Source organism: Homo sapiens, chromosome 12, assembly GCF_000001405.40.
Source record: "Homo sapiens chromosome 12, GRCh38.p14 Primary Assembly".
Lineage (NCBI taxonomy): Eukaryota > Metazoa > Chordata > Mammalia > Primates > Hominidae > Homo > Homo sapiens.
Genome location: NC_000012.12, coordinates 29,771,588 through 29,788,339, shown reverse-complemented (window position 1 = coordinate 29,788,339; position 16,752 = coordinate 29,771,588). Strand labels below are relative to the sequence as shown.

The following is a 16,752-nucleotide window of genomic DNA, read 5'->3' as shown; positions in this document are numbered from 1 at the left end:
AAGGAATTCAAGAAATGGCAGGTGCAGGAAGGACTTTCTGATCTTCCTATGAAGCAGGTCATAAGACCTTCATGTGAGAGGTGCCCCTCCTATCTTCCAAGGAGATTGTCCTTATTTCCAAAGCTGCAGTGATTCCCAGATAAATATGAACAAACAGGCCTTGCTAAGGTTCCCCCAGTTTACAACTCTTAGTTCATACCCATTTTTATCCTATCATATTTTTCTATGTTTCTTTATTCTTCAGCAAACATACTTTGAAAACAATCAGGTTTAACTACTTCTTCGGGTCTTCAATTCCTTATGAAGTCTCCTGTGTCACGAAAAACTTATACTAAACGAATTTGTATGCATTTCTCTTGATCTGTCTTTTGTTACAGAGATCCAGCCAGGAACCAACAAAGGTAGGAAGAAAAGACAGTGTTCCTCTCCTGCAATATTTTGTATTGCAATGTACCTATGTATACTTTTATCTTGTAGTAATATACTGACAAAGTTTATTGCCTGAGTGCCAGAAAATGCAAGGTCACAAATAATTTTTGATACTCTTAAATTTTATTACCGTGCAGATGCCACAGAGAGACACTTTAGGGATGGAAGGAAAGACAGTTTACCTCCAGGGAGATCCCCTTTTTCCTCCTGGGGCTGCAGCCGGGCTGCCACTGTTGCTTCTGCTGCCACCAGTCTGGGCCCAGGTCTGGGCACAGCCCCAGGCTGTCCGACACCTGCCCTGTCAGGTGTTGGGCCAGCTTCTTAGAGCACATGTTGCCTGCTGTACCACAGGCCCATGGGTTGGGGGGTAATTTAAATTTTTTTGTTCTTCTTTCTACTTTTCTGTATTTTCTTCAAGAGCAGTAATATTTAAACAACTAGACAACAAAAATTTATGTTTTAATGTAAACTATAGTATCATTTCTTTTGTAAACGATATTATCACCTTTGTAATATTGCATTTGGCCATTTATATAGGTTATATTTGAATAAAGGACATCATTAGGCTGAAAAAAAGCACAGGGAGCAGTGTTAAAATAAAAAGATTATTCAACAATACTTGTTAAAGCATGGTAGAATTTATTCAGGACCATCATGATAGTTATAGGGACCACTGCAATGCGGTCCTTCAGTGGGGAAGACAGACTGGACTCAACTTCAAATACAGCAAGAACCCCCTACCCTTGATATCTGATCACTCTCTTGCCAAACTGACTTAGTAGTGTTCTTTGCTAAAACTGGATTTTACAAGGAAGTACAATGATGGTGCTAGGAAGTTTCAGAAGACTAACTAAAGTTTGGTCAAGCAAAGAATTGTTGTTAGCAGTAATTTGAAATTGGTTTTATTACAATAGCTTGCCCTTGATTTATTTTTAGTTGTGTCCTAATCTCTTTCAGAAATATGGTCCATCTTAATTTGCATGAGTGACTTAATCTATATGAGCCTCAGAGAGGTACTTCTACAATAATTCATGTTTTATTATAAATTGCTTTTGAGTGGACACAAGGCGTTTCAGGAGGTAGTATTGCGCTAATTATCAATCCTTTAAAAATAATTAGAGGCTAAGTAACAAGAATTAAATCTAACTTCCTTTTGGGCCCCTTTATTAGTCAAGATGGATGTTTTCCACTTTAAGAGAGAAGCAAATGGCTTGATGGGCTGGCATATCAATGTAAACCTCTCTCTGACATCAGTACTTCTATACTTTTCCTACCACACAGAGCAGTATTGAATCAGGAGGTGATGAGGCTGCAAAGAAACTAATTATTATTATTATTATTATTATTATTATTATTATTTTTAGAGATAGAGTCTCACACGGTCCCCAGGCTGGAGTGCAGTGGCGTGATCTTGGCTCACTGCAACCTCCACCTCCCAGGTTCAAGCCATTCTCCTGCCTTGGCCTCCCAAGTAGCTGGGACTACAGGCGCGTGCCACCACGCCTAGGTTATTTTTGTATTTTTAGTAGAGACAGGGTTTCACCATGTTGACCAGGATGGTCTCGATCTCCTGACCTGATCTGCCCACCTAGGCCTCCCAAAGTGCTGGGATTACAGGGGTGGGCCACCATGCCAGGCCCGAAGGAACTAATTTTTAAAAATATTCACTGATCAGTTGTCCTTGAGAAGACTTGAAGCATTTCACTATTTTAAGTCAATCTCAAATTTGTCATCTGAGCAAAATAGAATAAAGATGCCACTGAACCTAGAGGAAAGATTAGGTAACCAGGAATCCTACTTTCAGGTTTCCTTTATCTCTTCTTTTTATGATCTCTTTGGAGTCTCAGTCCCAAGTCCTGCACTACTCTCCATGGTCATGGAGCACTCTGATACTGTTTCCATCTAAAAAAGAAAACAACTCCGAGAAGAAGGGGGTAGCCAGAGCTCTTCCTTGGAAAAGGATGACTTAAGGATAATTTGAGGAAGGAAAAAAGACTTTCTTTCTATAAAAATCTACTATTAGAGGCCACTCTTTTCTTTTCTTTTTTGAGGCAGGGTCTCACTCTGTAGCCCAGGCCAGTCTTGAACTCCTGGCCTCAAGCAACGCTCCTGCCTTGGCCTCCCAAAGTGCTGGGATTGCGGGTGTGAGCCATTGCACCTGGCCTAGAGTCACTCTTTTGGGTTAAGACGTTCTCTCTAGAAAGCCTCCGTTAATTATAGGTAAGGATTGATACATTGACCTATTACCTCAACTATGATTTCAGCAAAGATAATTTCACTATCCCAATCAGCTGTTAACTTAGAAAGCTAGACTTTTATGGTGTTAACCACACACACATACAGACGCACACACACGAGCAGCTTTGGGTCTTCCAATCCTATACTTAGCACATTGTAGCACAAAGAATCTCCTTAATATATTTTTATTAAGTTAATAGGTGAATAGGAAAGGCTGTAGTGTGTTATACGGGGAAATAGACTCAGGTGTGTCTAGATATTAAAGTCGGTATATTAAGGTTACCAAGCGTGAAAGATTTTGATGGAAGAATGAAAACATCCATGTCCAGGACTTCCAGTTTCATTTCTCAGTCACTAATTTCAAGTCACCAAATAAACAAAGTGAAAATGGGTGAAACGTACTTTGAGTTACAATAAGTTTATCTTAATTCATTGACTTTTCAACTGCTCAGATGTCTTAAAATTTTTTAAAAAGTAAGTTGTTATAGTAAAGAGCCACACAAATACTCATAGCAGAGGAACAATTTCTGGATTATGTCGGTGAGCTTTTTAAGGGTTTGGGGAGGATGAGAATAAAAGGGTGACTTTTTATTTTCAGTTTTTCTATCTGGATGTGTCAAATTCCTGATAACTTCTAACACTCAGCAATGGAAATTTAGAAGGTGCCTGAAAGAACAAATAGAATTTTCAGACCTGGAGAAATTCTAGTAATCATCACTCTGGGACATATTATTAAAATTAGTATTTTAAAAAAGAAAACAATCTTTCAGAAAGACAGGAAGTTTAGGAGCCAAAGCCAGAGGCCCTAATACAAATCGCCCCCACCTCCCCATCCCCCCATCCCCACCTTCTTCCCCGCCCTGTTCAAACACGCCCACAGCCCAGGAAATAATGAGACCCAAGTGATCCAGCTAGATAGAAAAAGTAGTTTGCTTGGCATCTCCCAAATTATCTTGAGCAAACAATAAAATAAGAAATGTTTCAGAAGACAATTCGGCTCCCAGGCCCAAACCAAAACTCGAACCTGGTACTTTTTGTAAGTGCGGGCCAAGAAAGGGGCTGTAAAGTTAAAGAGCCGGTGGCGCCTCTGAACACACCCGGGCAGGGCGAGCAGGATGTCCTTGTCCAGGGAGACCCCTTCTCCTGGCTTTGAGGAAGGTGCTCCCTATCCCCGCGGGTTCCTCCGCCAAGCGGGACGCCGCGCCGGGCGGGTGAGAGAAAGCCCGGGCAGGAGAGCACAGAGCCGGCGACTGGACGCGAGCGCGGGGCGGGTGGAGAGCGTCTCTCCGGGCGCCGCTGCTGTTGTCCCGGGTGCTGAAAAGCCGGGAACTTCCCGGGAAGCAGCGGCACTTTTCTCCCTGGAAGGTGGGTGTGGGGGTTCCAGACTGCGCACCTGCTAAACCCTCCTGGGTCCCCCGGGAGGGGTCCGCCAGATGTGCCCCTTCCCAGCCCCATTCGGGGGAGAAGGATGGGGGCGGGGGCGTGGGGGTGAGCACAGCCGGACACCGCAAGTGGGAACCTGGGGTGTCCTTCCCCGCAGCTCCCGGGCAGCCGCGCGCCGCGAACCCCGGTCCACCTGCAAGCAAGGCGGGCCGGGGGCAGAGGGCGCCGGGCTGTGCGGGGGAACCGGCCCGCGTCCCGGGATTGGGGGGCGGTGGAAGAGAGAGCGAGCGGGCATGCGCAGTGGGGCGGAGGAGGTGGCGATGGCCGGGGGAGGCGGGGGGACTGCTGTTTATTTGCAGCTGGGCCAACTCCGCGGCGCAGGCGGCGGCGGAGCGCGGGGAGCTCGCGGCGGGTCCAGCTGCCGCAGCACCATGCCCGAGCCCCCCTCCGGGCAGACGCCGCGCGCCGCCGGGGCCCCGGTAGGGGAGGATGCCAGACGCCCGGGAGAGGCCAGGGCAGCAGCGGCGGCGGCGGCGCGATGGTGGTGACCACCTCTGCCCGAGGCGGCGGCGGGGACCGCACACCCTCCCGGCGGCGGGGCTGCGGGCTAGCGCCGGCCGGGGCCGCGGCGCTGCTGGCCGGGGCAAGCTGCCTGTGCTACGGCCGCTCCCTGCAGGGCGAGTTCGTGCACGACGACGTGTGGGCGATCGTGAACAACCCCGACGTGCGGCCCGGCGCCCCGCTCCGCTGGGGCATCTTCACCAACGACTTCTGGGGCAAGGGCATGGCCGAGAACACCAGCCACAAGTCCTACCGGCCGCTCTGCGTCCTCACCTTCAAGTGAGTCCCTCACCTCGCGCTAGCCGCCGCTGCCTCCTCTACCCTCCGCCCGTCCCTCGGACCGGGAGAAGTTGCGGGACTGACTTGGGGGCATTTCATTTTTGCCGCCCTTTCCCTCCACGCCTCCCTCCTCTCCAGGATGTGCATGGCACTTTGCTCCGGGATCCACTGCCCGGCTAATCTGGGCTCTCGGGGCGGTTCGGGAGGCGCCGGCTGGGGAGTTGGGATCGAGTTTCTCAACTGTCTGCCCTCTCAGCGGGCTTCTCTCTCGAGGCAGGGCTGGGAGCGGGCTGGTGAAACCGCCTCCGCACCCCTTCGCCTGCCGGATCGTGACCAAGTGGGACTAGCGCGGACCCAGAGGGTTCCGGAGGGGTGGCGGTGGTGGCGATGCTTCCAAGTAGAGAATTTCTCGGAGGCTGTTGGGCAGCTTTGCAGATGAGAAGTGTATCAGCCCCTTAAGGGTTTCGTTCAGATGAGACGAGGCGGGAGCCTTGAGCTGACAGGGCTGCGTGGGTTCAGGAGAGGGAGCAGAAAACTCTCCCGAGCCCCCCAGCCCCCGCCTTGCACCCTTGGCTGCTCCCAGAGGCTCTCCAATCTGCCAGACTTCTCTGGATCTAGACTTTAGAAGGTGCAGAGAGAGGTAACGCAGAGCCTAGGCTTCTCCAGGGACCCTGGGGCCCCAGCCGAAATAGTTTTTCTTTTACAACCTCGGAGTCATGATTCAGCGTTTCTGGTGTGAATAAGCGTAAAGGGAACCGAGAATATGCCAGGTTTTTGAGGGGTGGAGTATTTTCTTTAATTTGAAAAGAAGCCTAGCTTCTGAGGAAAGAAGAGAAGTGCTCATTTAAGGGAAATGCTATCTTACACAATCAGGAGCTTGACTCAACCCTTTATAATGTGGCTCAGCATTGAAGTTCATTTTAACGCGCCGGTCAAAACTGTTGAAATAATATTGGTGCGCTATTATCGGCGTTTTAAGCCTTTTTGCAACGGGTGTAATAGGAACCCGTGTTTATGGTAATGATTATTTGAGACTGGGTTGGCAGCTTGAAAAGCCTGCTCTGGATGAGAGGCTGAGGCCTCTTGACAGGTGTCTCTGATGACTCAGAAAAGGAAACCATAGCAATCGGCAACAATTCATGGGCTTTTGACTTACGTCTTCCACTGAAAGTTTAATGTTTTTAAGGAGAGTGAGAAAATTACATATTTGACTTTGAAGAGAATGTGTTATAGACATTTGTTCTCTTAGAAAGTTGTTCTCGTTTTCTACTGAAAGATAACCTTGGCTAACCTCGCTATTCAGTTTCCCAGATGTTTCTTAAAATCTCCTTGGGACAAATATAAATGTTTCACTTCTAGATTGACCTGCTTTTTCATTATTACAGTCAGGGTTGTTGGTTAATTTAGGATGTGCAAGTTCACAGCATGAGATGTGCTTGCTATCTTTGTAACAGCCATGGAGACCATCCTGGTCACAGGTCTGAGTATTTTTCAATTAAAAAGGGCAGAGTCAAATGCCTGTGCCTACTTGCTGGAGAGTAGGGAAGGGTGTTTTCACTTCTTGACTTTCTAGAAGGTTTTCTTCTTTTTTCTCTGTCTTTTCTCTTTTTTTCTTTTTTGGGATGGGATCTCACTCTGTCCTCCAGCCTGGAGTGCAGTGGCATGATTATTGCTCACTGTAGCCTGAAACTTCTGGGCATAAGCAATTCTCCTGCCTCAGCCTCCCAAGTAGCTGGAACTACTACTGGCACATGCCGTGCATCCAGATATATTTTAAAATTTTTTTTGTAGATATGGGGTCTTCCTATGTTGTCTAGGCTGGTGTTGAACTCCTGGGCTAAGCGATCTTTAAGCCTCAGCCTCCCAGTGTGCTGGACTTGTGGGCATGAGCTACTGTACCTCACCTAAAATGTTTTATTTTTCTTCATAATGGAGACAGCAGGCACATAAGGGAGGGGTGGAGGGAGTAGACAAAGAAGTAAGACCATTGATTAAGAGGAAAATTGGCTAGGAGTTGACAGAACAAGGGCAAAGGAGAGTTGGGGGATTCAGGAGGAAGAGAGCTGAGGGACTCTTGTGGTAATCATTGATTGTAACAAGCAGCTTGGTGTCTAAGAGGCATGGCTTGCTGTATATTATATGCTACTGCCTATGAAAGATACACTCTTTTTTTGAGAAGATTGAGTTGCAAATCTAGAAGAGAAACACAGCACTAATTGGAAAGAGATAACTGCCTCTTCAGAAAGAGAATGTTAAGTAGTCTTTCTGTCCTCACATGCATTGATTTAAATAAGACTGGACAGTTTTCTTTATATTCACCTGAGGTATAGCATGAAGCTGGAGGATATCAGTGATTTTAGAACCATACAACTCTACAGGATGGTACAAGGAAGGACAGAAAGCCGTATTTATTAACTATTCGCTATGAACCAAGCATTGGCCTAGATACTTCACATAGATTACGTCTTTATGATTTTTATTTTAGATAGTGAAAACACAATTGAAGGGGCCCTTTAAATATGTGCAAACCATTTTAACTGTATCTTAAATTATGCTTGTTTGAGCAAAAACTTTGAGATTTCAAACCCGTTTTAAAAACTTTTTTAATGTAATTGTGCATTCCCATGCAGTTTTAAGTAATAATAGAGAGATTCCTTCTACTCTATCCATTTCCCCCAATGGTAACATCCTGTATTATTATGGTATAATATTACAACCAGGAAATTGATATTGATGCAATCTACAGCATTTAGTCAGATTTCACCCATTTTATATGTACTTCTATTTTTTTTATTTTACTAAGTGTGTATTTAGTTTTATGCAGCTTTATCATATGTGTAGATTTCAGAGAGTACCTCCACAGTCAAGATACGGAACAATTCCATCCCAAGGATCCTCAGTACTTCTTTATTGCAATCATGGACACCTAATCTATAACAACTGCCTAATCCATAATCCCCTCACCCAAATCCATAACAACCATGAATCTGTTCTCCATTATCATTTTGCCATTTTAATACTGTTGTATAAATGGAATCACATAGTATGTAACCTGTTGAGATTGGCTTCTTGCACTCAGCATGTCTCTGGATCTTCATTCAGGCTGTTGCATGTATCCATAGTTTGTTCCTTTTTATTGCTGAGTTGTATTCCATTGTATGGATATACCACAGTTTGTATAACCATTCACCTGTTGGGGACATCTAGGTTGTTTCCAACTTTTGGCTGGGATAAAGCTGCTATAAAAATTCACTTACAGGTTTTTATGTAAACATAGATTTTTATTTCTCTGTTCTAAATGCCCAGGAGTCCAATTGCTGGGCCATATGGTGGCTGCATGTTCATATGCTTTATATGAAGCTGCCATACTGTTTTCCAGATGTTCCTAGCCGCAGTGTCTGAGTAATCCAGTTTCTGTGCATTTCTGCCAGCACTTTGTATTGTTGCTGTTTTTTACTGTAGCCATTTTGATAGGTATGTAGTGATATCACACCTATATATGTACCTCATTAATTTACCATTCCCTAATGGGTGAAGCTATTGAACATCTGATATTAAACCAAAGAGTTTGGTAAATGTGCCTTTGTGTCTTTTGTCCATTTTTAAGTGTTTTTTTTAAATGTTGAGTATTGAAGTTCTTTATATATTCTAGATACATGTACTTTGTCAAGTATGTGATTGGTAAATATTTTCTCCCACTCTGTAGCTTGTCTTTTTGTCCTCCTCACAGGACCTTTCTCAGTGCAATACTCCAAACATATTTTTTATTAAAATGTAAGTTGATTTTTGATTCATTGAATGTATCTTACGCATACTGAGAGCTAGAAATTTCCTTAAGAATAAATGTAATTTATAGATGCATAATACTTTTTGCTATAAAGGTGGTTGCTTGTATACTAATAAATAATAAAAGTGCTTGCTTAGGTAGTAAAGATACTAATTATGTATTTTTTCAAGTAAGAAATGAACTAAAATTTGAAATGAGGAAATGGGTTGCAGACCATCTACTTCTACCAGTTTTGAGGGGATGGGACAGTGGAATATGAAAGCAGCTTACCAAGATGTGGTGGCTTTGCACTATGTCACTTTAGCTAAGTTGGGACTATGTTTCTTGGAATTGCCTTTGCAAGATGATCTGGGTTAGGGCTGACCATAAGAAAAATTTCTGCAAGATTTGGAAGGTGAAAGTGAAGTGGCTAAGATCACATTCAGAATGTTGGCATAGGTTTTGTTGCTGCCAGGCCTCTTGCAGTTTGTCACAGAAATGTTGGTGAACATGCTGTTGGTTTGCAGCAGCACCCAGGCCCTCAGCTCCTCCAGTGCTCTCCAGATCTCGTCTTTCAGCTACTTGGAATCATGGTGCAGGTGTGTATGCAGCTCTGCAGGGAAGAGTGCCAGTCTTTTTGCAAGCCTCTTGCATTGTTAAAGTTGGAGCCTTAAAGGCAGTGGAAAACAGACATGTATTTTAGCTCATCCTTGTGGGTTCCATTTTGCCTTTGCTTCCCCCTACTTCAAGTCCATTCACCCTCTCTTCCAGAATGGCCCTGCTGCCCTGCTGGCTTTCAACTTGGATAATAGACACAGAAGCATCACACTTACATAGGCTATTTAACCAGCCCCAGCAATAGTAAAAGGTCAGATCCCCATAGTACATCCCTTCTTCTGAATCACTCATGGTGGCTCTGGTTTTCTAGTCTAACCCTAACTGATACAAATGACCATCTCTTTGTGTTCCTTGAAGTGAATTTAGAATTACAATGAATTTCTGTTTCCAGTCAAATCTCAGATTCAGTCTTTTCATAAGATCATGCCCAAGGGCATGCAAGAATATTTTTGGACCATAGTGGTACAGAATCAAAACATCTGTGACTCTGCAGCAATAACATTTTTTTTTTGCTTCTTTTTCCTTCCCTGGCCATGACCTGTTTGTAAGCCTGAAATCAAGAGAAATGCATTAAGCTACTCTGTAGAGGGTGAATTGACACAGAACCAAACTCTATGATGTCCATAACCCCTCCCTTGAAAAATGGTCCAGAATGGTTTAAAATAAACTTAGCTTTTTAATTTTATCCCAACCCTTCTCTTGGGAAGAAGATACTGCTGAATTGTTCGCAGTGCCATTCCATTCAGTAAGCAGGTGGAAGTCTGCTTCAACAAGCAAGAACCAATGATTTTTTAATGTTAAAGATGGGGAAACTAAGCAAATGAAAGGACTTTAAAATCCTGATTCTTTCTCTGTGTGTTTAGCCTATTAGATTATATTTGCTATAATGCTTTATTTTATTAAGAGCTTCTGATGGTAATATAAACCATAAGAGTGAAAGTGGGTGGTTTAAAATGTCAGAGCCAAAAAATAGACTATCTTAATATGTGCAGCTGTAGGAATTTACAGCATTTTAATGTTTGATCTTGAAGGTTTTTTGCAGTAGTTTGCATCTTTTAGTTACAAATAGTATGCCAACCATGAAAATAAGCACTAGCTAACCTCCATGCCCACAACCTTAAAGAAACGGTGATATGTTTCTTTTGTTTCTATTCCTTTTCATTCAACTTCTGTGGGATTTCATTTTGACACAGCCTGTTGCCACAAGGCTGATAAGTTTGTTTTCTAAGTCTATCATAGGACACAAGTGAAGATTCTCTAGGATGTTTGACTAGATTGTCTAGGATGTTCAGTGACAGAAATAACCAAGGGAAAATGTGATTGGAGGCAAGAAAAATTTTATAAAGAAAAATGAAAAACTGCCTTTGAAAATTTTATGCCACCCTAAGGTTATCTTGGAAGCTCCAAGAGGTGGAGGTTGTGATTATAATCTAGTAGGATATACTTTATAGACTACAGTCTGGTAGTGTAGGAGGGACAGAAAGTGAGAGGAATATATTTTTGGACTCATGAGGGTTTTTATAGGTGAGTCCCTGAATCAAGGCTTGGAAATCACCTTCCGAAGCAGTCTATTATTACCAACCAATGTCTTTTCTGTCTTTCTTTGGAGCTACATTCATATTTTTCCTAACTTTGAGTATGTCATCATCTCACTTAAAGAGAGGGGTAAGGAGGTCGGGCACGGTGGCTCATGCCCTGTAATTCCAGCACTTTGGGAGACTGAGGCGGGCGGATCACTAAGTCAAGAGATCAAACCCATCCTGGCCAACATGGTGAAACCCCATCTCTACTAAAAATACAAAAATTAGCTGGGCATGGTGGTGTGCACCTGTAGTCCCAGCTGCTCGGGAGGCTGAGGCAGGAGAATTGCTCGAACCTGGGAGGCAGAGGTTTCAGTGAGCCGAGATTGCACCACCGCACTCCAGCCTGGCAACAGAGCGAGACTCTGTTAAAAAAAATAAAAAGAGAGAGAGGGGGGTAAGGAATGCCTGATCATGCCCACACAATGGCAGTGTTTCTTTCCCAAATAATAAGATACTGTTTCTTTTCTATGAAGTCCTGTTTGATCTGACCCCTGGCTACCTCTCTGATCCCTAGTCTACCAATCTCCACCTCATTCTCTGCACCAGCATTCCAGAGCCCTTGTTCTTTGCACAGGCCAAACCCACTGCTACCAAAGGCCTTGCATGTATTGGTGGTTCCTCCTGAATGCTTTTCCCCAGATCTGTGCAGGGCTTATGTGCTCACCACCTTTGGTTTCTGCCTAAATGTCACTTCATCCCGGAGGCCTTCCCTGGTGGCCAGGTGATCAAAGTAGCAAACACTCCTCTGTGTTTTTTTACCCTTATTTCCTTACCCTGCTTTGTTGAGTTTTACCTCCCCTCACTACAGTGTAAACTCCATGAGGTTTATCTCTAGCACCTACAACTAAGCCTGGCTTGCAAAGTAGGGACTCAAGATTTATCATTGAAAGAAGGAATATTATTTGTCAATTAAAAATGAATTAATTTTTTAAAGAATGAATAAATCCTTTTTGTGACTGCTCAGATTTTTCAGGTAAATACTAAGGTAAGGCTACATGATTATAATGTAGAGAAAAAGTCTGCTTGGTTTACTTTTTCACTAATTTACCTTTGTTCTTTCTTTCTCAAAGAGAAAAGTGGAGGCAGACTAGGAATTTCCTCAGATGTATACAGAGGATACCAATGGGTTCTGTTTACTGAGAGATTCTGAAAGGGATGACTTTGAATTTCTATTGGAACTTGCTGGAACTGTAACTCTGTGTAGAGAATGAAGATCTGTAGCGCTTTTGGATCTTACTCTTCTTAGGTGGCAGGTTGCAGCACAAATGGTTGGTGGATGCTTGCTGCAAAGTTCAAGGTGAGAAACAGCAGCTGTACCTTCAAAACCCAGAATTATAGGGGGTTCTCACTACACTCCAATCTCAGGTTCCTAAGATTCATCCATGCCTATGCTTTCTATAAGGAATGGCCTTGTTGGATCAAATGGAGTACAAGTACCTGAAAATATGTTATCAGAGAAACTAACATGACAGTGATTTTTTTCTGGTCTTCGTGCTGGATTCTTGGGAGGAAACTTCTGATCCCTTGGAATTTCCCAAGTGAGAGGAGTTTCTTTATTATTCATGATGGACTCCTGGGATCACACCTAAGTTTATGCTAAGGAGGAGTTGACTCATGGTGGGCTCCTAGATGGTTATAGGGTGAGGGCTGGCTGTGGTGTAAAGACCAATTATATGATTAGAGGGTTGGGGCTGTGAGGCATGTGATATCACTCCTATATCTCAACCTCCTAGGAGGGAAGAGGGGCTGAAAATTGAATTGTTGTGTGGTCAGTGATTTCAATCAATTGTGCCTACATACTGGGACCCCCAATAAAAACTCTGGACACTGAAGTTTGCTTGAACTTCCCTGGTAGGTAATCATACCTTGATGTGCTAGGAGGGTGAAGCATCCTGAAGAAATAGAACATTTATGCTCAGGGCCCTCCTGGACCTTGTCCCGTAGGTTTCTTCCTTTGATTGGTCCTGACTTGTATCCTTTATAAGAAAACTATAGCCATAAGTATAGGGGTTACTCGATTTCTCTGAGTTGTTCTAATGAATGATCGAACCTGAGGGAGTTGTGGGAGGCCCTGATTATGTAGCCAGTTGGTCAGAAGTACTGGTGGCCTGAGGAACTTGTGGCTGATGTCTGAAGTGTGAGGAGTTTTGTGGACGACTTTGCCCTCAACTGGGAGTTTTTGTTAATTCTGGGAAGTTGATGTCAGAACTGCATTACAATCAGGCACTCCACCAAACACCAAACACACATTTAAAAAAAAATGCTAAAAATTGACAGCTCAGTTAAAACTAAAATATTTGGCCTTGGTCTGTCATAATTTTTATTATTTGCTGGCTCTCTTTTTGAGGATTTTCTTCCGGGACTTGCTACCTTCCAGATATATTTACTGATCTTCCTGCCTTCAGTTTTCTTACCCTTTCTTTAGTACAGTTATTACTCTAATAACTGTACTATTACTCTAGTACTAATGTAACAGTGACAATAACCTCCCTTCCCATGGGGCAGCTTTCCTGTGGGGCAGCTTCCTCATAGCCAGATAAGGATGTGATGCCTTGAACTCAAATCAAAGCCATGAATTTTGCTTCAGCTGCAGAGTATCAATCTCCCCTCTGGACTGTTGTTTGCATTGGTGCCTGGGAGCTACATCATTTTGTACTTCAGATACATTAAGCAATAATGATTTGCTGATTTATTCCTGGTACTGAAGGGAATGCAGAAGAAGAGCAACCAAAATGATTGAGGGCCAAAGGGATTTTTGCCTTAGAGGAGAAATGAGAAGAACCAGATGTTGTTATTTATTGGTTGAATGATCTAAGAAGACTATGGAAACCTCTTATAAGCATTTGAGATCTGTAATGATGGCAAGAGGTTGGGAAAAAGAAAGATGAACAGTAATAGAGGAATACAGGAGAATGTGCTGTGTGCTTAGCATTGGGCTGTGGAAACCCATGCTGAAAGTGTTGGAGAACCCAACACTGGAGACACCAGAAACAGATAATAAAGGGTTACTTTTAATTTTTGGTTTTCCCTGGTTTGTATTTCTTTGGAAAAGAATGTACTCTATTCTTTGTGTTACTGCTGAGAAATCTGGGCTTTTCTGGAAAGCTGGGCAATACTAGCAGCCTTCCCTTAAGCTTTGAAACCTGTCTCTCATTGTTCTGAGTATCACCTGACTTTGAATCACCTGGGTTGCTTGGGGGCCGATCTCTGGGCCCTAGTTTAGATCTGCTGCCTTGGAATATCTTGGGATGGGATCGGAGAATCAACAATTGTAGCTACCACACCAGATGATTAAGACAGTTGAGAACCACTGGGACTCATGGGGGCCCATGTTTAATGAGGTTGAGATGCTAAAATCTCCCTGGCATAATGTAGAGAAAGGAACGCAAAGGCTTATTGAGATAGGAATGCTGGCATGCGTTTATCACATGCCACCTGCACACACACACACACACACTCATGTCTCCACTGTATTCCCAGAGAGGGCCAGATGACTTTCCCTTTTTTGAGGCATTGAGAATTACATTGGTGAAGGAGCACCTGCAACTTCGAGAAGCTCTTTGGTGGATCTCTTCTGTAGGCCAGGTGTGATGTAGGAGATGCTGCCATTGAGGTGGACTTTCTGACTTCATGGGGTGATAGGTTCCTGGAGTACCAAAGACCAAGTGGCAGAGCTTAGCTGCCAAAGACAAGGTGAATGCCTTGATCATGATGGGCCTCTGGGACACAGTGATAATCAGAATGTTTTGACCTGCAGCGATCATTGGTGGTGGCTTATTAATCATATTGTCCCTAGGAATGAAGTAGATGGGCAGCCCTCTAAAATTTTGCTAAAATTTATTCCAGGAAAACTCCAGCTTCAGGGCCAGGAATCAGGCTTGGGTCACCACATGTAGAGTCATGATGTCTTACCCAGTTTGCAGACCTATGCCAGTTCCTTGAGGTAGAGCCATTTGATTGACATGGAGTTGGGGTCCTTTTGAGGAAGGACTCTAGTCCTTCTCTGCTGTGTGTCTCTGTTTCACAAATACAGACTGTTACTGTTTTGTTTTGTTTTGTTTTTCCTAAATCAGAGCTATTGTCAAAGAAGAAACTTAAAAGACAGTGATGGGGTTTATCTTAAGCTCCAGGCTGTGGGAGTGAGGAAGCAGAGGGCAGCCAACAACTCTTTCTTCTCCCTTTCTCTCCACCCCACAACCCCCTTTGGTGCCAGATTTTGTGACCCCATACCCTTTCCTGGGAAGGGATATGGCATGCTGCAAACCAGCTTATCTGAGAACTCACGGCCTTACATTTCTGGGAAGTTTTACAGGAAGGCAGAGTGAGTTCAGATGGAGAAGGGGCGATTTGGGTTCATATTTGTGGAACTCTGGAAGGTTTTCAGATAGTGAGAGATGGCTATTAAGATTATTTCCAAAAATATTATTTTATTTCCTACTGCTTGGCCTAGTTTTAAATGAAGAATGAAGGCTACACCAAATAAAATGAGAGATTCTTGAAGTCAAAGGGAAAGATGATCTTTTCCAATTGCAACTTAATGTAAGTTCAGTAAATTTTCATTTAGAATCTATTGTATGCTGAGTGAGATGGATACAATGACAAAAAGAAATTAGTTTCCTATAGTGTATGAAAAACGTTTGAGGAATATAGTTAATGAGTTTTTTAAAAAATTGGTTAAATACTTTCAAAGGGGTACATTCAGGGTGATATAGAACCTGAGATGTTCTTTTTAGATGGTATTTCATGTGGGTTGTCATTATACTTCTTTGTGGACATTTCTGGTTATCCAAGCAACTGATATAATTTTAAATCTTTAAATGTGTACTAGCTTCAGTGTTACCTCCTACTTTGAGCTGAAGCCTGCCTCTCAGTACTTTGCATATTAAAAGTTGAAAATTGCTAAAAGGGTCAGGCTGATCTTAGAGTGAGTGAAGTGAGCTGGATGTGAGGTTATGTTGTAATACTTTGCATTTCAGGTACATGGGAATATTCTCCTCTTCCAGAAATATGCTTTCTCCCATTTTTCTTCAAGCAGTCATTTTGACTGTCTTATTGCCCATGTGTGATAGTCATGCAGGCTCAAGAAATATTTCACTTTCCTCTTTACCGTACACAAAAAAAAATTGTGTGCATAATGATAAATGAATGCCTTCAGGTTAGGAATATGATAGGAATTGGTAGAGACTATGGCAAATTGTGAGCCCTTGTCCTCTCGAGATGGGCACACAGATATTTCCATGCAGCCGTGTAGGCCCAGAGTTGTCAGGTCTTCTAATATTTCAAGAGAAGCTGGAAATTTTTATATGAAGCCACCAGTTTTTAAAACCCTGATAAATAAAAAAGAAGTATGAAAGTAAAACAGAACAACCTGCAGGCTAAACCTAGCCTTTGGGAAGACAGTTTGCAACATCTTTATTGGATTGTAGTTTCCCCTTAGGGAGCTACTTAGAATAAATGCATTCCTTTAGTATTGCTTTTCATTCATCCATTCATGTTTATTCATTCATCTGAATGCCTATTGTATGATAATCATGAATGAGGCATTGTGCTAGACACTGTGGATGTAGCCATAAATATGGCAAAGATCTTTTCCCCTGGAGAACTTGGCATTATTTCTGTCATCTTTCTCTAGGCTGAGCATCTTCCATTTCCTCAAAGCTACATTCAAGAGGCATCATTTCTGAGGGTCTTCCCTCCCCCCTTAGCATCCTGAAGTTCTCCTGTGAAGGTGCTCTGTGTTTAAAAAGTCCTCTGACTGTCTGCTGCCCCACTTTGGATACCACCTATCTTGCCTCTCCCATCCTCAGGTAGAATACCTCCCTCTTCCCCATGTCTGCACCTGGTAAGTTCTCCCACTGCCAGAATTCCTTAACATTTAATTCGCTGTTTAATTAC

At 43.3% G+C, this 16,752-nt stretch overlaps 1 protein-coding gene across 9 annotated transcripts in view; it reads left to right on the top strand.

Annotated features, from left to right (window-relative positions):
- The first annotated feature begins 3,580 nt into the window (after positions 1-3,580).
- The window catches only part of TMTC1 (transmembrane O-mannosyltransferase targeting cadherins 1), a 283,947-nt gene continuing 270,775 nt past the window's right edge, over positions 3,581-16,752 (top strand). For 7 of the 9 annotated variants that reach the window (XM_017020005.2, XM_017020004.2, XM_017020003.2 and 4 more), the window contains exon 1: positions 4,398-4,890. In XM_017020005.2, the coding sequence (XP_016875494.1) occupies positions 4,589-4,890 (302 nt within the window). In that variant the 5' untranslated portion in view covers positions 4,398-4,588. Of the gene's footprint in view, positions 4,033-4,397; positions 4,891-16,752 lie in introns of those variants that run through there. The other 2 variants (NM_175861.3, XM_047429634.1) reach the window with 1 other exon arrangement.